The sequence below is a fragment of the Homo sapiens genome, chromosome 1 (assembly GCF_000001405.40).
Source record: "Homo sapiens chromosome 1, GRCh38.p14 Primary Assembly".
NCBI lineage: Eukaryota > Metazoa > Chordata > Mammalia > Primates > Hominidae > Homo > Homo sapiens.
In genome coordinates, this window is record NC_000001.11 from 113,153,000 (window position 1) to 113,177,575 (window position 24,576).

General features: G+C 41.5%; 1 pseudogene, besides 1 other annotated feature; it reads left to right on the top strand.

Annotated features, from left to right (window-relative positions):
* Positions 5,493-6,338: an enhancer, noted in NCBI's record as "OCT4-NANOG hESC enhancer chr1:113701114-113701959 (GRCh37/hg19 assembly coordinates)". NCBI's record gives its function as "activates a minimal SCP1, AML or CMV promoter by ChIP-STARR-seq in primed H9 embryonic stem cells {active_cell/tissue: H9 hESC(primed)}" and the evidence as "EXISTENCE:reporter gene assay evidence [ECO:0000049][PMID:30033119]".
* Positions 15,960-16,443, top strand: RPS19P2 (ribosomal protein S19 pseudogene 2; annotated as a pseudogene).

A 24,576-nucleotide genomic window follows, 5' to 3' on the forward strand; every position in this document is an offset into this window, starting at 1 on the left:
AAATTTTATATGGAGATATGCTGTCATTTCTCTTGGGTACCTACCTAGGAGTGGAATTGCTGGGTACATGGTATGATTGGGGTTCTTGATGGCAAGCAATAGAAAATGTCTCTGGCCGTCTTGAACAAAGAGGAAATTTACTGGCAGAATAGTGGAGGCTTCCAGAATCCACAAGGGAGAAGCTGAAGAGCTGGGCCTGGAAAATGGGGCAAGAGCCAGAAGGACTTCAGTGGTCAGGCAATGGAGCTGCAAGCAGCACCGCCCCATAGAAATGCCTGGGCCTGGGCACTGTTGCAGCCTGCCCTTCTGGCTCTTGTCCAAGATTCAAAGTCTAGCAGAGAGCCTCCAATTGGCCAAGGCTGTGAATCACTCCCCTTCTCCCCACAAGCTGGGGGCCAGGGAGATGAATGATCTGACCACTTCAGCCCCACAGCATAAGGGAGGCATTACACAAGTGACAATTTCTCCAAAAGAGAAATTAAGGCAACAATTTGAAGTTGGAATTCGGGGGAATGCTGGATACCTAACAAAAAGACAAATGTAATACAGCAGGGCCAGATTATGAGGGGGAAAAAGCCAACACAGAGAGGAGGGAGAAAGCAAGGGAGGAGCAGAGAAGAGAGCAGAGCCACTGCCTTAAGCTCATTCTGAAGCCACAGAATCTGTGGATTTCCAGTTACATGAGCCAGGGTGACTTGGATTTTCTCTTGCTTGCAGCCAAATGCATCCTAACTGATGCAGTAGCGATTACGCATGAAAGCCAACTAGAGATAGAAAAAGGCAAGGAAACCAGTGAGAAGAACTTGGGTCTAGCCCCGTTTCTGCCAGATGCCTCTTAGCCGAAGCATTTGATTTCTGAACCTCAGTTTTCTCCTTTTTTCACAGAGTTGCGAAGTAAAATGAAGGATATAAGAGCCCTGTATAGACTAAAGTGCAAAGGACTTCCCCATAGGCTCTTATGACCAAACAAGACAGAAGCAAAAACATGGTAATAAATGAACAAACAGATGTTTTCTCAAAGGCTTTAATATTCCAGGTTCCCATCTGGCCTAAGTTTTCATGAGTTCTTTATACTAGGCATCTGGGTGGGAGGTAGTGGGGGGTAAGAGAAGGAAACATTTTGAAGTAGAATTAGGTCAAAGCTAATCATTACACAGCGTGTAGATTTTGGGAATTTGCTTTTCCTTTTCTCTCTATTCTTAAAAAGCATTGGAGAAACTGTAGGAGGGAAAGGAAGGAGGGTGGCAGATGTTTCCCCCTCATTCTCTTATTTTATCCTCACAGCAGCCCTTGGAGGTAGGGATGATTACCTCCATTTTTCAGAGGTGGAAATGGTTCAGAAAGGTGAAGTCACCCACCGTAGGTATGAATTTGAACTTAGTCCCAACAGATGTTAGATGCCAGGCTCTTCAGTACACCTCACCAACTCCCAGGAAACATAAAAACATACTCCATTATATTCCATTTGGTATCTGAGCTTCAAAAATTTAAAGGAAGCATACAGAGGGTTGAGGGAAGGAATTGTTCCCTCAGGTTAACTCCAAACATTCTTTTTCCCTAAGGGAGGCAACTGTGGTATCAAAAGAACATGGCCATATATGTAAATACCAAGGATATCTTTAAAGAATACTCAAGAAACTGGTCACAGTGAGTGACTTGAGGGTGGCAGGAGAAGAAACTGGGTCACTTAGGGATAGGGAAGAGAAAAACTTTCTTTTCATTGTTGGCCTTTTCCTTCATTTCTTTCAATTAATAAACATTTTTAGAGCAGTTTTTACATCACAGCAAAATTAAATGGAAAGTACAGAAATGTCCCATGTCCCCCATCCCCACACACGGACAACCTCCCCCACTATCAACATTCTGCCCCAGGGTGGTCCATTTGTTACAATCTATGAACCTACATTGGCACATCATTATCAACCAAGGTTCATAGTTTACATTAGGGTTCACTCTTGGTGTTGTACACTCTGTGGGTTTTGACGAAAGTGTAACGACATGTATCCACCACTGTGTTATCATACAGAGCCGTTTCTCTGCCCTAAGAATCCTCTATGCTCTGTCTGTTCATCCCCTTCTTCCTCTCACCTCTGGCAGCCACTAATCTTTTTATTGTCTCCATAGTTTTGCCTTTTACAGAATGTCATATAGTTGGAATAATAGAGAATGTAGCCTTTTCAGATTGGCTTCTTTCACCTAGTAATATGCATTTAACTTTCCTTCATGTCCTTTCATGGCTTGATAGTTTATTTCTTTTTAATGCTGAGTAATATTCCATTGTTTGGATGCACCACAGTTTATCCATTCACCTACTGAAGAACATCTTAGATGGTTCCAAGTTTTGACAATCATAATAAAGCTGCTATAAATACCTGTGTGCATGTTTTGTGTGTACTTAAGTTTTCAACTCCTTTGGGTAAATATCACAGAGTACAAAATGCTGGATCATATGGTAAGATTATGTTTAGTTTTGTACAAAACTGCCAAACTGTCTTTTTTTTTTTTGGGCTGTAGTACAGTGGCACGATCTTGGCTCACTGCAACCTCTGCCTCCTGGGTTCAAACAATTCTCCTGCCTCAGCCTCCCAAGTGGCTGGGATTGCAGGCATGTACTACCACACCCAGCAAATTTTTGTATTTTCAGTAGAGACAGGGTTTCACCACGTTGGCCAGGCTGGTCTTGAACTCCTGACCTCAGGTGATCCTCTCGCCTCGGCCTCCCAAAGTGCTGGGATTACAGGCGTGAGCCACTGTGCCCAGCCCAAACTGTCTTTCAAAGTGGCTGTACCATTTTACATTCCCATAAGCATTTCATGTTGTCAGTGTTTTGGTTGGCCATTCTAATAAGTGTGTAATGCTATCTGTTTATGTTTTAATTTGTAATTTTTGAATGGCATATGAAAATATGCCCTTGTTGAGCATCTTCCTTCCCTTTTTTCTTTAGAGACAGAATATCATTGTGTTGCCCAGGCTGTAGTGCAGTGGCTATTCACAGTATTCACAGGTACAATCACAGTGCACTGTAGCCTTGAGCTCTTGGCCTCAAGCAATCCTCCTGCCTCAGCCTCTGAGTAGCTGGAACTATAGACACGTGTTAGGCCATTCTTGCATTGCTATAAAGAAATACCTGAGGCTAGGTAATTTATAAAGATAAGAGGTTTAATTGGCTCACAGTTCTGCAAGCTTTACAGGAAGCATGGTGCTGGCATCTGCTCAGCATCTGGGGAGGCCTCAAGAAGTTTACAATCATGGTGAAAGGTAAAGGGGGACCAGGCACATCACATGGTCAGAGCAGGAGCAAGAGAGAGAGAGTGAGTGATTGGGGAGGTGCCACACATTTTTAAATGACCAGATCTTATGAGAACTCACTATTACAAAGACAGCACCAAGCCAAGAGGGATCCACCCCTATGATCCAAACACCTCCCACCAGGCCCCACCTCCAGCATTGGGGATTACAATTCAACATGAGATCTAGGTGGGACAAATATTCAAACTATAACAGCATGTGCCACCACACCTGGTTTGAGCATTTTTTATATGCTTACTTGCCACCTGTATATCTTCTTTGGTAAAGTGTCTGTTCAGGTCTGTTGCCCATGTTTAAATTGTTTTTTTTTTAATTGTTGAGTTTTAAGGGTTCTTTGTAAGTTTTGAATTACGTTCTTTTATCTGATGTGTCTTTTGTAAACATTTTCTCCCAGTCTATGACTTTTTTCCTTATTCTGTTTTTGTTTTTTTATTTTTTCAAGACAGAGTCTTGCTCTGTCACCCAGGCTGGAGTGCAGTGGTGCGATCTTGGCTCACTACAACCTCTGCCTCCCAGGTTTGAGCAATTCTCCTGCCTCAGCCCCCCAAGTAACTGGGATTTCAGGTGCGCACCACTACACCCAGCCAATTTCTGTATTTTTAGTAGAAACAGGGTTTCGCCATGTTGGCCAGGCTGGTCTCGAACTCCTGACCTCACGTGATCTGCCTGCCTTAGCCTCCCAAAGTGCTAGGATTACAATGTGAGCCACTGTGCCCAGCCCCTCATTCTCTTGATATTGTCTTTCAAAGATAAGTCTTTAATTTTAATAAAGTCCAACTTATCAATTATTTCTTTCATAGATTATGTCTTTCATGTTGTATTTTAAAAGTTATCACCATACCCAAGGTCATCTAGGTTTTTTTCTTTTATCTTCTAAAAAATTTATAGTTTTGTGTTTTACATTTAGGTCTATTATCTATTACAGTTAATTGTTGTGAAAGATGTAAGCTGTGTCTAGATTCTTTTTTTTTTAAGCCTGGACAACATAGGGAGACCCTGTCTCTATAAAAAAATTAAAGAACTAGCTGGGCATGGTGGTGCACGCCTATAGTCGCAGCTACTTGGAAGGCTGAATTGGGAGGATTGCTTGAGCCTGGGAGGTCAAGGCTGCAGTAAGCCATGATCATGCCACTACACTCCAGCCTGGGCAACTAAGCAAGACTCTGTCTCAAAAAATAAAAATGGATTGTTTTTTGTATATATATGTTCATTTGTTCTGACGTATTTTTAAAAGATTGTCTCTGCACTATTGTATTGCCTTTGCTCTTTTGTCAAAGATCAGTTGACTACATTTATGTGAGTTTATTTCTGGGCTGTCTTTCTGTTCCATTGATCTATTTGTCTAGTCTTTCACCAATACCACAATGTCTTGACAACTGTAGTTTTGTACTATGTCTTGAAGTTCGGTAATGCCAGTCCCCTGACTTTGATTTTTTCTTTTTTTCTTTTTTTCTCTTTTTGAGACTGAATCTCACTCTATCACCCAGGCTGGAGTACAGAGGCGGATCTCGGCTCACTGCAACCTCTGCCCCCTGAGTTCAAGTGATTCTCGTGCCTCAGCCTCCTGAGTAGCTGGGTTTACAGGCACCCGCCTCCACACCTGGCTAATTTTTGTATTTTTAGTAGAGATGGGGTTTCACCACGTTGGCCAGGCTGGTCTTGAACTCCTAACCTCAAGTGATCTGCCTGCTTCGGACTCCCAAAGTGCTGGGATGACAGGTGTAAGCCACTGTGCCTGGCCGACTTTGATTTTTATTTCAATATTGACTTGGTAATTCTGTGTCTTTTGCCTCCCCATATAAACTTTAGACTCAGTTTATCTACATCCACAAAATAACTTGCTGGTATTTTGATTGGATTGTGTTGACTCCACAAATTAAATTGTAAAAAACTGACATCTTGACAATATTAAGTCTTCTTATCCATGAACATAGTCTATCTTTCCATTTATTTAGGTTTTTTTTTTGGTACCTTTCATCAGAATTTCATTGTTTTCCTCCATAGATTTTGAATATAATTTATACTGATTTCATTTTTTAATACCTACATATACAATTTATACATAAGCATTTTTATATCTAAGGGTCTCTGTTGCGGGAAGTCAGTTCTTATCACTTCCCCAATCAATACCCTTGTGATTTCCTATGCCTGTCTTTAATTTAATCTCTTAATCCTGTCAGTTGAGGAGGATGTATGTCGCTTCAGGACCATGTGATAATTGCGTTAATTGCACAAATTGTACAGCATGTGTGTTTGTGCAATATGAAATCTGAGCACCTTGAAAAAAGAACAGGATAACAGCAATTGTCCAGGGAATAAGAGAGATAACCTTAAACTCTGACTGCCGGTGAGCTGGGCAGAACAGAGCCATATTTCTCTTTCAAAAGCAAATGGGAGAAATATCACTGAATTCTTTTTCTCAGCATGGAATATCCCTGAGAAAGAGAATCTGCACCTAGGGGTAGGTCTCTGAACTGGCCCCCCGGGGCGTACCTGTCTCTTATGGTCGAGTCTGCAGAGATGAAATACACTCCAGTCTCCCATAGCGCTCCCAGGCTTATTAGGAAGAGGAAATTCCTGCCTAATAAATTTTGGTCAGACCCATTGATCTCAAAACCCTGTCTCCTGATAAGATGTTATCCATGACAATGGTGCCCAAAACTTCATTAGCAATTTTAATTTCGCCTCAGTCCTGTGGTCCTGTGATCTTGCCCTGCCTCCACTAGCCTTGTGATATTCTATTACCCTGTTAAGTACTTGATGTCTGTCACCCACACCTATTCGCACACTCTCTCCCCTTCTGAAAATCCCTAATAAAAACTTGCTGGTTTTTGTGGCTTGTGGGGCATCACGGATCCTACCAATATGTGATGGCTGCCCTGGATGCCCAGCTTTAAAATTTCTCTCTTTTGTACTCTGTCCCTTTATTTCTCAAGCCGGTCGACGCTTAGGAAAAATAGAAAAGAACCTACATGATTATCAGGGCAGGTCCCCTGATAGGTCTGTTGTGGGGAGTGCTAATGCAATGGTAATGTGTTTTTAATTTCAAATTTTACTTGTCATATCAGCAATGGTTGGTATATAGGAAAGTGACTGACTTTTGTATGTTAACCTTATATCCTGGAGCCTTGTTATACTCAATTATTAGTTCCAGGAGTCTTTTTTTTTTGGTCAATTTTTTCAGATTTCTTACATAGACAATCATGTCATCTGTGAACGTGGGCAGTTTTTTTTTTTCCCAATCTGCATATCTTTTACTTATTTTTATTGTCTCGTTAGTTAGGACTTCCAGTACAATGCTGAAACACAATGGTGAGAGGGGACATCCTTGCCTTCTTCCTGATCTTAGCAGGACAGCTTTAAGTTTTTCACCATTAAGTATGATATTAACTATAGGTTTCTTTATAGATGTGTATCAAGTTGAGGAAATTACCCTTTATTTCTAGTTTGCGCTGGGTTTATTATTTTTTTAATTATGCATGGACATTGGATTTTATCAAATGCTTTTTCTGCATCTATTGATATGATCATGTGATTTTTCTCCTTTAAGCCAGTTGATGTGATGGGTTACATTAATTGATTTTTGAATGTTAAATCAGCATTGAATACATGGAATAAATCCCACTTGGTCATGGCTATAGACTGAATATTTGTGTTCCCTAAAATTCCTATGTTGAAACCTCATCCTCAATGTGAAGGTATTTGGAAATGGGGCTTTGGGAAGTGATTAGGGCATGTGGGCAGAACCCCCATGAATGGGATTAGTGCCCCTAAAACAGAAACCCCAGAGGCTTCATTGTCTCTTCTGCCATATAAGGATGTAGCAAAAAGATGGCCATCTGTGAACCAGGAAGCTGGCTCTCACTAGGCACCAAATCTGCTTTCATTTTGATTTTGGACTTCCCAAATTCCAGAACTGTAAGAATAAATGTTGTTTAAGCCACCCAGTTTATGTTATTTCGTTATAGCGGCCTGAATGGACTAAGACGGTCATGGTGTGTAATTAGTTTTATACATTGTTGGAGTTGATTTGCTAATTATTATTGGGAATGTTTGTATCCATGTCATGAGAAATATTGGTTCAAAGTTTTTTTTTTCTTGTGATGGTTTTGATATCAGGGTAATGGCCTCATTGAATGAGTTAGCAAGCATTCTCTCTACTTCCGTCTTTTGAAAGAGACTATAGAGGAATGGTATAAATTTTCCTTAAATGTATGGTAGAACTCACCAATTAACCCATCTGGGCATGTCATGTTTTGTTTCAGAAGGTTATTAATTATTTATTCAACTTCTTTAATAGATATATTCAGATTGTCTATTTTTTTCCAGTGTAAGTTTTGGCAGATTATCTCTTTCAAGAAATTGGTCCATTTCATGTAGGTTATCAGATTTGTGGGTGTAGAATTGTTCATATTATTCTTTTAATGTCCATGGGATCTATAGTGATGTTTCATCTTCAATTTCTGATGTTAATAGTTTGAATCTTCTCTTTTTCTTAGTCTGGCTAGATACTTACTGATTTTATTGATAATTTCAAAGAACAAGCTTCAGGCCGGGTGGGGTGGCTCACATCTGTAATCCCAACAATTTGGGAGGCCAAGGCAGGCAGATCACTTGAGGTGAGGAGTTCAAGACCAGCCTGGCAAACATGGTGAAACCCCGTCTCTACTGAAAATATAAAAATTAGCCGGGTGCAGTGGCACGTGCCTGTAGTCCCAGCTACTCAGGAGGCTGAGGCAAGAAAACCTCTTGAACATGGGAGGCGGAGGTTGAAGTGAGCCGAGATCATGCCACCTCACTCCAGCCTGGGCGACAAAGCAAGACTGTCTCAAAAAACAAAAACAAAAACAAAAACAAAAACAAAGAACCAGCTTCTAGCTTTGTTTATTTTCTCTATTGCTTTTCTGTTTTCAATTTCTTTAATTTTTGGTCTAATTTTTATTATTTCTTTTTTTCTGCTTCCTTTGGACTTAATTTGCTCTTTTTCTAGTTTCCAAAGGTGGACACTTAGTTTTTTTTTAATATTTTTTTGAGACACAGTCTGTCACCCAGGCAGAGGACACTTAGATTATTGATTTTAGATATATCTTTTTTGGTAATACATGCATTCAATGCTATAAATTTTCCCCAAGCAGTGCTTATGCTACATCCTACAACTTTTGATAAGTTGTATTTTCATTTGGCTTAAAATATTTTTTAATTTCTTTTGAAATTTATTCTCTAACCCATGTGTTATTTTGAAATGTGTTGCTTACTCTCCAAGCATTTTGGTATTTTCCAGCTATCTTTGTTATTAATTTCTAATTTTATTGTGGTCTGAGAGCAAACATAATTTCTATTCTTTTCTATTTGTTAAGGTGTATTTTATGGTTCAGAATGTGGTCTATCTTGATGAATGTTCCATGTAAGCTTGAGAAGAATGTGTAATCTGCTGTTGTTAGATAAAGTAGTCTACAGATGTCAATTATATCCAGTTGGTTGATGGTGTTGTTGAGCTCATCTATGTCCTTACTGATTTTCTGCCTGCTGGATTTGTCCATTTCTAGTAGAAGGGTGCCCTTGTTCTTTGTTCCTATTTTTGTCTTCCACTTTTTCTGGCTTTTTTTTTTTTTTTTTTTTCTTTTGAGATAGGGTCTTGCTCTGTTTCCCTGGCTGGAGTGCAGTGGCATGATCGTAGCTCACTGTAGCCTCAATCTCCTGGGCTCAAGCCATCCTCCTGCCTCAGCCTCCTGAGTAGCCGCGACTATAGGCATGTACCACAACACCTGGCTTTTTTTTTTTTTTTTTTTTTCTGTAGAGATGAGGTCTCATTATGTTGCCCGGGCTCTTTTGTAGTTTTAACAGAGCATTTTATGTGATTCCATTTTCTCTCCTCTCTTGGCATGTCAGTTGTACTTCTTTTTTTACTTGTTTTCCTGGTTGCCTTAGAGTTTGGAATATCTATTTATAACTAATCCAAGTCTAATTTCAAATAAAATGAGTAGGGCAAGTATCTTTTTTTCCCTCTGTATAAAAATAGAAATATTTTAATGTTTCTTTTTTTTAAAATTTTACTTTAGGTTCTGGGATACATGTGCAGGATGTGCAGGTTTATTACATAGGTATACATGTGCCATGGTGGTTTCCTGGCAAGTATCTTATAATAATGGAATATTCCTAATTCCTCTCTTCCATCCCTCATATCATTTCTGTTATTCATTTTACTTATACATAAGCATATATAATAAATAATATATATTCATTTATGTGTGCCTATATATTTGACATATGCACATAATATAGGCATAATCAAATACACTGTTGCTATTATAATTTTTACTAAACTTCTTTGTTAGGCCAATTAAGAATAAGGAAATAAAAGTTTTTATTTTTACCTTCACCTATTCATTGTCTGATACTCTTGTTTTCTTTGTATAGATCTGAGTTTCTGACCTACATAATTGTCCTTCCCTCTGAAGAACTTCCTTTAATATTTCTTGCAAGGCAGACCAACCAGCAACAAATTCCCTCAATTTTTGTTTGTCTGAGAAAGTTTATTTCTCCTTCACTCTTGAAGGATAATTTCACAGGGACAGAATTCTAAGTTGGTGAATTTTTTTCTCTCAATACTCTAAATATTTCACTTCATTCTCTTCATGCTTGCACGGTTTCTGGTGAGAAGTCAGAGTTCGACATAATTCTTTTTTTTTTGAGACGGAATCTCGCTCTGTCACCCAGGCTGGAGTGCAGTGGTGCAATCTGGGCTCACTGCAACTTTTGCACCCCGGTTTCAGCAATTCTCCTGCCTCAGCCTCCTAAGTAGCTGGGACTGCAGGTGTGTGCCACTATGCCCGACTAATTTTTGTATTTTTTGGTAGAGATGGGGTTTCTCTGTGTTGGCCAGGCTGGTCTCAAACTTCTGGCCTCAAGTGATCCACCTGCCTCAGCTTCTCCAAAGTGCTGGGATTACAGGCGTGAGCCACCGCACTTGGCAAGAGTTTGATATAATTCTTGTCTTTGCTCCTCTATAGGTGTTTATTTTCTTCCTTCCGGCTTCTATTAAGATTTATTTTTAATCTTTAATTTTCTGAATTCTGAATATGATATGCCCAGGTATAGTTTTGTTTTGTTTTTGGCATTTATTCTTCTTGCTGTTTTCTGAGATTTCTGGATCTGTGGTTGGGTGAAAAATTATCAGTCATTATTGCTTTAAATATTGCTTCTGGTTCTTTCTCTCTTTCTTCTCCTGGCATTTCCACTCTACCTATGCTACCCCGTTTGTATTTGTCTCATGGTTCCCGATATCCTTTTTTGGGTTTTTCAAAATCTTTTTTTTCTGACTGGTTTTCATTTAGGGAGTTTCTATTGTCATATCCTCAAGCTCAGAAATTTTTTCCTTAGCTGTGTCCAGTCTACTGGTGTGCCCATCAAAGGTATTCATTGCTGTTACTTTTTTTTTTTTAATTTCTAGCTATTCCTTCTTATTCTGTCTTAGAGTTTTCATCTCTCTGTTCACATTACCCATCTGTTCTTGCATGTTATCTATTTTTTCATTAAAGCCCTTAGCATATTAATCATAGTGTTAAAAATTCCTGTTCTGATAGTTCCAATGTTCCTGCCATATCTGACTCTGGTTCTGATGCTTGCTCTGTCTTTTCGAACTGTGTTTTTTGTCTTTTAGTATGCTTTGCAATTTTCTGCTGAAAGGTCGACATGATGTACTAGTTAAAAGGAAACGCAGTAAACAGGCCTCTAGTAATGTGGTAGTCAGATCTGTGGAAAGCAGCAGCACTCTATAGTCCTATGGTTAGCTGAACTTCTCTGGACATCAGCTTCTCTGTAGCCCTGGGATAGCTGGATCTCCTTGGACAATCTGTTCCTCATCAGATGTCCACCTCCAAAATCAGTTCCAAATCATAACATATTAATTAGATCTTTTTGGAGACATAGCGAAGAAGATACATATAGTATACCACACAGTAGAAACTAAACCAAATTCTTCATCAGCCACTCCTCTTCATCTTGCCTCACACATTTTTTTTTCCCTGCTAATAATTTTGTTTCTCTTTTTTACCTCTACAACTTCTTAAAACTCATTCTGTTGTCCAGAGCAGTTCATCTCTACCCTCAGCTTGTGTATCCCACTCAGCAAAACAAAGACCAAGCAGAAGCCACCTTCCCAGTTCCTGTAAGTATGTCTGTTTTGAAGTGGGACAAGGAGCAGCCTCAGCTCACCTGGCCACGTGTACACAGGGCTAATTATATGTAACCTGCAAGGATGTTGTGAGGATGAACAGAGCTGGAATTCAGGCCTAAGTTTTCTGACCTCAAGTTCAATGTCCCTTTCCTTAGCTATCTCAAGACAACAAAATATTGTACAGCCTTTATTCTTAGAGATTTCCCTGGCTCAAACCCTCCATTTAACTGGATTTTTGTAACATTCAACTTTTTTTTTTTTCTTTTTGAGACAGAGTCTCACTCTGTTGCCCAGGCCAGAGTGCAGTGGCGCGATCTTGTCTCATTACAACCCCCGCCTCCTGGGTTCAAGTGATTCTCCTGCCTCAGCCTCCCAAGTAGCTGGGACTGCAGGCACATGCCACCACGCCTGGCTAATTTTTTTTTTTGAGATGGAGTTTCGTTCTTGTTGCCCAGGCTGGAGCGCAATGGCATGATCTCTGCCCACCGCAACTTCTGCCTCCTGAGTTCAAGCGATTCTCCTGCTTCAGCCTCCTGAGTAGCTGGGATTACAGGCATGTGCTGCCACACTTGGCTAATTTTGTATTTTTAGTAGAGACAGGTTTCTCCATGTTGGTCAGGCTGGTCTCGAACTCCCAACCTCAGGTGATCTGCCCTCCTCGGCCTCCCAAAGTGCTGGGATAACAGGTGTGAGCCATTTTTGTATTTTTAGTAGAGACGGGATTTTGCCATGTTGGCCAGGCTGGTCTCGAACTCCTGCCTCAGGTGATCCACCAAGCCCGGCCTGTAACATTCAACTTTTGGAAGAGACAAAGAATTAGCCAGGAATGTGAAAATAAAAATTTGATTTCTAGAACATGTGTCAGGGTCAGCACAAATGTATCGCTCTTATTCTCTCTGTATCTGTGATGCCAGCCCATGAGACTTCAATTTAGAGTGATGACGCCTGAAGAAGAGTGACATTCTCCCTCATTAAAGAGAGATATTATTATGTTCACTGACCCCTACTTAGGCAAGAATGTGGGCAGAGATGTTTCAAAAATCATGGGCAAGACTTGAGATGTGATGAGGCTTTCTTCCTAGCCTAGTTTCCCACTTCCTCCCAGGAAGGGAAGGAGATCAGGGTGACTGAGCCTATCAACGAGGTCTGTAGAGGAGGCAAACGGCCATGGCAGTCAGCATCAGGGTTAGGAGTAGAGTGTGTGTTAGTTTCCTAGAGCTGCCATAGCAAAGTACCACAAACTTGCTGCGTTAAAACAACAGAAATGTACTCTTTCACAATTCTGGAGGCTGGAAGTCTGAAATCAATATGGTGGCAGGGCCGTGCTCTCTCTGAAGGCTCTAGGAGATCCGTATGTGCTTCTTCCTAGCTTCTTATGGCTGCTGACATTCCTTGGCATTCTTTGGCTTGTAGATGCCTGACCCCTATCTCTGCCTCCCTTGTCACACGGCAGGCTTCCTGTGTGTGTCTGTTATCTCTTCTTATAAGGATGACCATCATTGGATCAGGGCCCACCCATCTTAATTAATTACATCTGCAAAGATCCTATTTCCAATTAAAGCCCCATTCACAGTCCTGGGGGTTAGGACTTTAACGTATCTTTTTGGGGAACAAAATTCAGCCCACAATAGAGTGCTCTATCTTTCGTGTTTGTCAGCAGAAGAATCTGCCGAAATGACTTGGCAGCTAGGACAGAAGGAAGGTGACTGAAGTGATTGAAGGAAGGTGAACTTCTGAGGAGGCAATGTCCACATTTCTGAAAATGGGGCAATGGAGGCTTTGGGAGCCAACTGAACCTTTAATCTCCTCCCCCATCCCTGGCATAGGCAGATTTTCAAAACTGCCGTCTGAAGTATAGGATACTTGCTATAGCGTCTTCATCTGACCTGTAACTTCAAAATAAATCCTGGCAAAGTGGCCCATTCATCATTCATAAGGTACAGTTTCACCAGCTAGTTAACATTCCCTTCCCAGGTAGATGTGTGTGTAATTCATTCCAGTATTTAAGAGAGATCTCCCAGAATTCTACTCAGATTTATTGTCAAATAACTGTTCGGTAAAACTGCGTCTTTTGCTGACTCAGGCCTGGCAGGAAAAGTTGCCACAAGCATGGAGCTCTGGCATTGATTTGTGACTTCCCAGTGGGAGAACCTCAGGGGTGGAAGCCCACAGGCTTGATTGCCTTCTTAGATTAATATTTAATAGGATGACCGCCCCCATCTACCTTGCCAGCCCGGATCAGTGCCACAAGTCAAGGCTTGGCCTTGCTGTGCACAAGCGCTGTGAGGAAGATTTGGCAAAATTTTAATTAACTGAAGATAAACATACATAGGGAGCATGAGTCCATTAGCTGGCATCACCACCCAGAGAGAAAAGGCCTCACTAATCACATGCCACAGCAGGTGAAATGACCTGCAGACCTGCAGCCTCCATTTGCTTTCAAATTAAAAAACATATTTTTGAAATAAATACACATGGGGCCCTGCTCATCATGTCGTTTCCCCTGAAAAGCAGGAAATCTGGGTTGCTAATGAGCAATGCTTTTAATATTTTAGCCCAAGAAAGCTGAAAACACAAGTGTAGCAAAACAAGGCTGGAATTGCCCTTCCTTTGGAGGAGGGAGGAAAGTTGGGACAGGAAACCAAGGAAAGGCAATCAGAAATGGAGGACTCAGTCCTGTGGAAAAATACAAATAATATAGTCAGCCTGGGAAGAAGTAACTGGATCTAGAAATCAGGCATGGCAGAGGTACCCATTTGCTCAGCGGCAAGGAATCCGCAAGGTTAGATCGTAGAATAAGTCTGTAATTCACCAACCTTTAGATTGCAAGATGGCCAAGAAATAGGGATAGAGCTTGAGTTTACAATATTCTAGAAGGAAAATTTTATACAATTTGGTCAGAAAGTGGGTATTTCGTTTGCTCATTAGGCTATATATTCATCACTTAATATGTAACAAGTGCCATTTCAGGTCTGGGGAGGTAGAAGTGAAGGAGACTTAACAAGTCTCTGTTGTCATGTGGCTTACTTTCTAGTAGGGGGAGGCAGACAACAAATACCCAAGAAAATATCAGGTAGCATTTAAGTCAGAGACCTGAATGGTGAGAAAGCGCTGGCCATGCAGAGATCAGGGGAGGGCATTCTGGGGAATAGAAAGTACAAAGGCCCTAAGGAAGGTAAGAGCTCAGCCTGTTGAAGGAATGAAGTGTGGCTGGCGCTCAGTGAGAAAGGAGATGAGGAGAAGAAAAGAATAGGTAGGGGCAAGGTTCAGGATATTGGGTTTTATTCCAAGTGCAATTATTCTTATGAAACTTGTCATTCCCACTAGATTATAAGCTTCAAGAGGGCAGAGACTCTCTCTTACTCACTCAATACCTAGTTTGCATTCCAGGGCATCTACTAGCTGCCTTTTCTTTTTATTTGAGCCTGGTCTTCTTCTAGCCCTTCTATAGTATGGTGAGCCAGCCTCCAAGATGACTTCCAATGACCCTTGCCTCCTTTTGTAATCCCCTTTCACATTGAATCAGGGCTGGACCTTTGTGGCCAGTAAAAGAGGGTAGAATTGATAGTGTATGATGTTCAAGGCTAAGTTATAAAAGTCATTCCAGCACCCATCTTGGTCTCTTGGATTTCTTGCCCTGGGGGAGGCCAGCTGCCATGGGAACACTCAAGCTGCAATGTGGAGAGGCCCACATGGAGAGGAACTGAGTCCCTGGACAATGGCCAGCAACCAATTTGCCATTCATGTGTATGAGCCACCTTGGAAGTGGATCCTCCTATCCTAGTAAAGCCTTCAGATGATTGTAGCCTCAGCTGACATATTATTGCAAGCGTATGAGAGACCTTGAGCCAGAACTGCCCAGTGGAGACCTCCTTAAATTCCTGACCAGTGGAAACCATGAGAAATAGTAAATCATTATTTTAAGCCGTCAAATTTTGGGTGATTTGTTACACATCCTTAAGAACCCAGCCAGGCGCAGTGGCTCACGCCTGTAATCCCAGCGCTCTGGGAGGCAGAGGCGGGCGGATCACGAGGTCAGGAGATAGAGACCATCCTGGCTAACACAGTGAAACCCCATCTCTACTAAAAATACAAAAAATTAGCCGGGTGTGGTGGTGGGCGCCTGTAGTCCCAGCTACTCGGGAGGCTGAGGCAGGAGAATGGCATAGACCCGGGAGGCAGGCCTGCAGTGAGCCAAGATTGTGCCACTGCACTCCAGCCTGGGTGACAGAGCGAGACTCCATCTCAAAAAAAAAAAAAAAAAGAACCCAGAACACATAGTATAAGGTCATGTATGAAGTAATGGGATAAAAGCATGACAATGAGAAACTGCTTAAAGGGGATCCTCTTCATGTGGGACAGAAGATCAGAGAACTCCTAAGACAAGGGGCGGGCTCACATCATTCCTTGGGGACATCTAAGAGTCAGGACTGAATGAAAGATCATTGGTGAGGTCATTTAAAAATAAATGTGGCCCTTTCCCCCGGCTGGCAGCGCAGAGGCCGCAGGATGCCTGGAGTTACTGTAAAAGATGTGGACCAGCAGGAGTTCGTCAGAGCTCTGGCAGCCTTTCTCAAAAAGTCTGGGCAGCTGAAAATCCCCAAATGGGTGGCCAAGCATAAAGAGCTTGCTCCCTGTTATGAGAACTGGTTCTACACACGAGCTGCTTCCACAGCGCGGCACCTGTACCTCTGGGGTTGGCTCCATGACCAAGATCGATGGGGGACATCAAAGATGGCATCATGCCCAGCCACTTCAGTCGAGGCTCCAAGAGTGTGGCCCGCCAGGTTCTCCAAGCCCTGGAGGGGCTGAAAATGGTGGAAAAGGGCCAAGATGGGGGCCACAAACTAATACCTCAGGGACAGAGAGATGTGGACAGAATCACCGGAGAGGTGGCAGCTGACAACAAGAAGCATTAGAACAAACCATGCTAGGTTAATAAATTGCCTCGTTCGTAAAAATAAATAAAATAAAATAAAAATAAATAAATAAATGTGGAGGGCAGAATTTATCCATTATTATCTCTTGTGAAGCAGACAAAAGCCACAGTATTCAAAATATATTTATAAGAATCTAGAACCTGTGTAACTTCCCTAGGTTTGTTGTTTTTGTTGCCCTGGTCTAATTATCCAGGGTGAAAAGCTCTTGAATGTTTGTCTGGGGTAACAAAGAGAAGGGGGGAGGGTTTGGGAGGGAGGAATTGCCCCACTCCAAATCTGCCTCAGGGGGTAGCTACCAGAAGAGGAAAGTAGGCCTTGGAACTTGCTGAGGGAATCAAGTTGAAGACAGAGCCTGACTGGGCCTGAGACAGACCCCCGGGCTAAGAGTTGAAAGGCACAGTGTGTTGAATAAAGTGAGCCAGGTTCAATCGTTTCCTGAGGCACAGGCATATCCGCAGCCTTCCAAAGCAGCCTTCCAAATCTGTCTTCTCCGGGAGAATCTTCCCCTCGTCAGAGCTGGTATCTCACAGGTGAAAATGTGAAGTAATCTCTAACAGCCCTGGGAGGTGAATGCCCAGCAAAGTATTTATCCTCAAACAACCCCCTCCTGGCACATTTGTCTGGCTATGTATTTCTGTAATTAATTGATGTTGTTCAGTTAAGATCTATTAAATTCTTGTCTGAAAATAAACGTCATCTGGAACTCCATGTGTTAAAACAATAAAAGCAGTGCTGTTCCAGTTAAGGTGGGAAAGGGAGAGGGGTGCTGAGTCCCGCTTCCCCTCAGCTTTGCCTCATCCACCCACCCCACTTAGCATCCCCAAGGCCTTTCCCAGGAGCCCTAGCATTCTGAAACTCATAGCTTGAAAAAAACAGATTGAGGATATTATAGCACCTGCTACATCGTTTTATAATAATCTGCTATTTGTGATTACTTATGCCACTGTTTTCTTCCACTACTGCAAATAAACAGATTCATCTTCTTCAGATACCATCTCATCATGTACTTAAGGCCTCTAGGAAGATTCTGGTTCTCAGAAGTTCAAGTCAGAGGGGCTTAAAGATGGCTGGTACTTGCCTCCTCCACAAAGAAGAACCTAAATAGTGAGTAGATAGTCACATTTCAAATAGGTCATCCAAAAAAAACACTGGAATTCATTGGAGAAGTGTCAGGAAACACCTAAGGCAAGGAATAAAAGGGAAGCAAGGCAGCCTGCTCAGCCAGGACCAGCTAGGAGTCTGTAGAGACTCCCCATTGTGGGGAAAAGGGAAGTGAGAGATGCCTCGTGGTCCACATTCTCACCGTGGACTCCTGCAGTCCCAGCCATGCGTGGACTCCTGCAGTCCTAGCCATGGTAGAGCCCCTGACCCACAGGGGCCCTGAGACGAAAACAGAGAGCTTCCTGGAGACCACACAATGGCACTGCCCCAGAGAGGGAGTTCACACTGGATCCCACACATCCCCAAGGCATCAGCAGCTCCTGTGCAAGGTGCTATTTTGAGAGCCCAACACCATGCGAACGGCACTCTCCCTGGGACCCAGCAGTGCCTGCATCTCCATGGCCCTGGCGCCCACTGAGATTCCCCACCTGCAGCTACCACCACAGCTGGCTGCTGCCACTGAGGCTGAAGTGCAGGCCACTAACCCCACTCCCTCCAGAAGCAGAGCCACTGCACATTTTCACACACCCAGACAGAATCCTCTGCACATAGCTGTTGTTACTATGCTGCTGGGGCTACAGTGTGAGTGAAAGGGCTGCTGCCATTAGGTCTGAAGCATAAACCAAGCTCGCCTACATATAACTGCTGCCACTGAAAGCAACTTCACCCTCTCCAGGAGCAGGGCCATAATGCAGTTTCTGCTGCCACAACCCTAAGCATTCTGCTGGGGGCCTGGGGATCACTCTGTTTCTGCCTACCACAGCCAGTGCCAGTATGCACCATTGTTGTGGGGAGCTGACTACAAGCCTGCTCAGGCTGGCTTTCCCATAATCCATGCCAGAGCATATAGTCTGTGGGCCTGAGGTTCATCCAGCCCAGTCCACTAGTGTCAGCACCTGAAAACTCCTCCTGGGGGCCTGAGGTTGGCCCCACCCACCCTTCCACTACCACCGCAGCTGGCACCTACTTGCACACAACACCTGCAGACCTGGAGACTAGATGGCCTAGCCCATTGCAGCCACTGCCAACACCACTGCATACTGCTTGGGACCCAGAGAATTGTCTCACCACTGCCACTGCCATCACTCACAACATGCCTACTGTCCAGGTTCCTGAGAAGCTGCCCACCTGCCAGCCAACCACTGCCACCAGCATATGAACAAGCCACCTGGAAGCCCAAGAATCAGCATGCTTGGACCCGCTAACACTGGTGCCAGCATATGCCACCCTCGGGCTTAAGGACAGACACACTCAGCCTACCACTGTCACCATTAGGTCCCAAAGACTGGCCCACCTGGTGTCCCAGTCCCCAGCAATACTTCACCACAGCCTCCACTAATGACCTCATCCTAAGCCATTGAAGAAATCACAGACATCACTAACACTGCCTATAGCCATAGAAATCATACAGAGACTACATTACTGTACACACCCAGAATCAAGGCCAAAGTTTCCTACACAAACAATACCATAGATACATCTTCAGGAAAAAGTCCTCCCCTATGAAAGCAAATTCAAAAACTGGAAGAAGCAACTGTTACACCAAATGCACAGATGTCAATATAAGTACACAGGAAACATGAAACAGCAAGAAAGTATGACACTTCCAAAGGAACATAATAATTCTCCAGTAACATATCTAAGTAAAAAAAGAAATTTATAAAATCCTAAAAAAAGAATTCAAAATATTGATTTTTAAAGAGGCTCAGTGAGATACAAGAGAATCCTGAAAAATACAAAGAAATCAGAAAAACAATTCAAGGTATGAATGAGAAATTTACCAAAGAGATAGTTATCATAAAAAGAATCAACCAGAAATTATGAAACTACAGAATTCATTGAATGAAATAGAAACTACAGTTGAAAACTTCAACAATAGACTACATCAAGGAGAAGAAAAGAGCTTCAAATTTGAAGACAGGTCTTTTGAAATAAACCAGTCAGACAAAAATAAAGAAAAAATAATTTTAAAACATGAGCAAAGCTTATGTGACTATTAGGACACCATAAGGTGACCAAATATTCAAAATTTCAGAGTCCTAGAAGGTGAAGACAAAATGAAAGTTATTTAACAAAATAATAGATGAAAACTGTCCAAGTCTAGCAAGAAAGCTAAACATCCAGATACAAGAGGCTGAAAAATTCCCAAATAGATACAATGCAAAAAGGTATTCTCCACAGCACATTACAGTTAAACTGTCAAAAGTCAAAGACAAAGAGTTCTAAAAACAGCAAAAGCATCTAGCACTTGTTGGGAACAGGCCCCCCAAAATCTGGCCATAAACTGGCCCCAAAACTGGCCATAAACAAAATCTCTGCAGCACTGTGACATCTTCATGATGGCCATGACGTCCACACTGGAAGGGTGTGGGTTTACCGAAATGAGGGCAAGGAACACCTGGCCCACCCAGGGCAGAAAACCACTTAAAGGTGTTCTTTTTTTTTTTTTTTTTTTTTGAGACGGAGTCTCGCTCTGTCGCCCAGGCTGGAGTGCAGTGGCGGGACCTCGGCTCACTGCAAGCTCCGCCTCCCGGGTTCACGCCATTCTCCTGCCTCAGCCTCCCAAGTAGCTGGGACTACAGGCGCCCGCCACTACGCCCGGCTAATTTTTTGTATTTTTAGTAGAGACGGGGTTTCACCGTTTTAGCCGGGATGGTCTCGATCTCCTGACCTCGTGATCCGCCCGCCTCGGCCTCCCAAAGTGCTGGGATTATTAAAGGTGTTCTTAAACCACAAACAATAGCATGAGCGATCTGTGCCTTAAGGACATGCTCCTGCTGCAGACAACTAGCCAAACCCATCCCTTTATTTCGGCCCATCCCTTTGTTTCCCATAAGGAATACTTTTAGTTCACCTATAATCTATAGAAACAATGCTAATCACTGGCTTGCTGTTAATAAATATGTGGGTAAATCTCTGTCTGAGGCTCTCATCTCTGAAGGCTGTGAGACCCCTGGTTTCCCACTCCACACCTCTATATTTCTGTGTGTGTGTCTTTAATTCCTCTGGCGCTGCTGAGTTAGGGTCTCCCCAACCGAGCTGGTCTTGGCAGTCACTTATAAAGGAACTCCCATCAGACTAACAGCAGATTTTTGGCAAAAACCTTACAGTCCAGGAGAGAATGGGATGATATATTTAAAGTGCTGAAAGAAAAAAAAATGGTCAGTGAAGGATACTATAACCAGCACAGTTATCCTTCATTAGTGAATGAGAAATAAAGCCTTTCCCAGACAAGCAAAAGTTTAGGGAATTCATCACAACTAGATCAGTCATACAAGAAATGCTTAAGAAATTCTACACTCAGTAGTGAAAGAAATATATCTACCATCATGAAAACACATACAGATATAAAACCCACAGATAGAGTAAACTCAAAAACAAGAAAAATACTCAAACATTATCACTATGGAAAACCACCAAACCACAGTGATAAACAATAAAAGAGAAATAAAGGAACAAAGGATACAAAAAATAACCAGAAATATATTAATAAAATGACAGAAATAAGTCCCCACATATCAATAATAACCTTGAATGTAAATGAATTAAACTTTCCACTGAAAAGATATAGACTAACTGAATGGAGAAAAAAACATGACCCAACTAAATGCTGCCTAAAAGAAATTCATCTCACACATAGACACATGTAGACTAAAAGTAAAGGAATGAAAAAAGATATCCTATACAAATGGAAACCAAAAGTGAGCAGAAGTAGCTATACTTACATCAGATAAAACAGACTTTAAGTCAAAAACAGTTAATAAAGACAAAGAAGATCACTATATAATAATAAAGGGATCAGTTAAGCAAGAAGATATATAACAATTCTAAACATATATGCACCCAACACTGGAGCACCCAGATATAAAAGCAAACATTAGATTTAAAGGGAGAGATAGATTCCAATACAATGATAGTCGGGGATTTCAACACTTCATTCTCAGCATTAAACAGATCATCTAGACAGACAATTAACAGAAAAAAAAATAATTTAAACTACATACTAGACCAAATGGACTGCCAGATATTTACAGAACATTTCCCCCAATAGCTACAGAATACATATTCTTCTCATCAGCACACAGAACATTCTTTCAGGATACATGATATATTAAGACACAAAACAAGTATCGAAAAATTTTTAAACATTAAAATTATATGAAGTGTCTTCTCAGACCACAGTGGAATAAAAGTAGAAATTAATAACAAGAGGAACTTTGGAAACTGAACAAATACATGGAAATTAAACAATATGCCCCTGAATGACAACTGGGCCAGGGAAGAAATAAAAAAATTTCTTGAAACAAATGAAAATAGAAACACACACAATATACCAAAACCTGTGGGATACAGCAAAAGCAATGCTAAGAGGGAAGTTCATAGCAAATAAGTGCCTACAGCAAATAAGTAGAAAGATTTCAAATAAACAATTTTATGATGCACCTCAAGGAACTAGAAAAGCAAGGACAAACCAAATCCAAAATTAGTAGAAGGAAATAAATAATAAAGATCAAAGCAGAACTAAACACAATAGAGACTAAAAAGAAAAAAAAACCCAAAACACCAAAGGATCAATGAAACAAAAGTTGTGTTTTTTAAAATATAAACAAAATTGATAAATCACTTGCTGGACTGAGAAAAAAGACAGAAGACCCAAATAAACAAAATCAGAAATGAAAAAGAAGACATTACAACTGATAAGACAGAAATACAAAAGATAATCAGAGACTTTATGAATAATGATACACTATCAAACTGGAAAAGCGAGAGTAAATGGACATATTCCTGGGACACATATAGCCTACCGAGATTGAATCAGAAATGTTAAAAGAGAAACTTCAGCTGAATTAAATTTAAAGGAGTTTAATTGAACAATGAACGATTTGCAAATGAGGCAGCCTCCATAATCACAGCAGATTCAGGAGACTCCAGGGATGCCTTGTGGTCAGAACAAATTTATAGACAGAGCAGACACAGTGGCTGATGCCTGTAATCCTAGCATTTCAGGAGGCCAAGGTGGGAGGATCATTTGAGGTCAGGAGATTGAGACCAGCCTGACCAACATGGTGAAACCCCATCTCTACTAAATATAAGAAAAAAAAAAAATTAGCTGGGCATGGTGGTGGGCACCTGTAATCCCAGCTACTCAGGAGGCTGAGGCAGGAGAATCACTTGAACCCAGGAGGCGGAGGTTGCAGTGAGCTGAGATTGTGCCACTGCACTCCAGCCTGGGCAACAGAGCGAGACTATGTCTCAAACAAACAAAAAAAAAAACAAAAAAAACAAAAAAACCTTACAGACACAAAAAGAGAAATGACGTACAGAAATCGGAAGTGAGGTACAGAAACACCTGGATTGGTTAAAGGTTGGCGTTTGCCTTATTTGAACACAGTATGAACACTTAGCAGTCTATGAGTGGTTGAAATATGGCCACTGGGATTGGCCAAGACTCAGCTATTGTTCCAGGCTCATACTCCTAAGTTAGGTTTTCGATCTTGTCTGCCTATTAAGCTAGGTTACAGTTCATCCATAAGGACTGAAATATAGAAGTACGGAGTCCTTCTCAGGCCATAGTTTGCTTTAACAGGAAGAAATAGAAAATCCTGAAAAGATTAATAACAAGTAATGAAGTCAAAGCAGTAATCAAAACTCTCCCAACAAAAGAAAAAGCTCTGGACTAAATGACTTCACTGCTGAATTCTACTAAACTTTAGAAAAGAAATTAACACCAATTCTCCAAACTATTTCAGAAAATTGAAAAGGAGAAGCCTCTCCCAACTAATTCTATGAATCCAGCATTACCCCGTTACCAAAACCAGACAAAGATGAAACAAAATAAATAAAGAAAGAAAGGAAACTCTGGGCCAATATATCTGATGAATACAGATGCAAAAATCCTCAACAAAACATTAGCAAATTGAATCCAAAAGCGCATTTTAAAAACCCACTATAACAAAGTGGGATTTATCCCAGGCATGCAAGTATGGTTCAACAAATGCAAATCAATAAATGTGATACATCACATCAACAGAGTGAAGGACAAAAGCCATATGATCATCTCAATAGATACAGAAAAAGCATTTGATAAAAATTCAACATCCTTTCATGATAAAAGCTCTCAACAAAACAGGCACAGAAGGAACATGCCACAACAAATTAAAGGCCGTATATGACAAACTCACAGCTAACATTATACAGAATGGGGAAAAGCTGAAGGCCTTTCCTCTAGGAACTGGAACAAGACAAAGATGCCCACTCTCACCACTCCTATTCAGCATAGGAGTGAAAGTCCTAGCCAGAGCAATCAGGCAAGAGAAAGAAATAAAAGGCACCCAAATTGGAAAAGGGAAGTCAAATTGTCCTTCTTTTCTAAAGCTATGATCTTATACCTAGAAAAACATAAAGACTCCATCAAAAAACTCTTAGATATGATAAATCAGTAAAGTTGCAGGATACAAAATCAACACACAAGAATCAGCAGCATTTCTATACAACATTAATGAACTAGCCAAGGAAGAAATCAAGAAGGCAATTCTATTTATGATAGCTACAAAAATAAATTTAAAAAAATACCTAGAAATACATTTAACCAAGAAAGCGAAAGATCTCTACGAGGAAAACTACAAAATACTGATGAAAGAAATTGAAAAGGATTGAGAAGAACAAGATAGCTGACTAGATGCAGCCAGGAAATGCCTCTCCCACTGAGAGAAACCAAAAATTGACTAATCCAACACATTTCAAACAGATCTTTTGAGAGAAAATACAGAAAGTCAATAGAGAGGCAACACCGACAATAAGGTTGAACAGGGTGGAAGCTGGGAATACTTCATAGAGTTGCTGAGCACCAGGACCAGCTCCTGGCCCTAAGCAGGTCCTAAGGAAGAGATTCAGCTACAAGAGATCCCATGACCCCCATAGACATTTTAATTTGCAGGGGAACTGCCTGGAAAGTAGGCAGAGGCAGAACTCGAACCTGTGCTAAGCCCA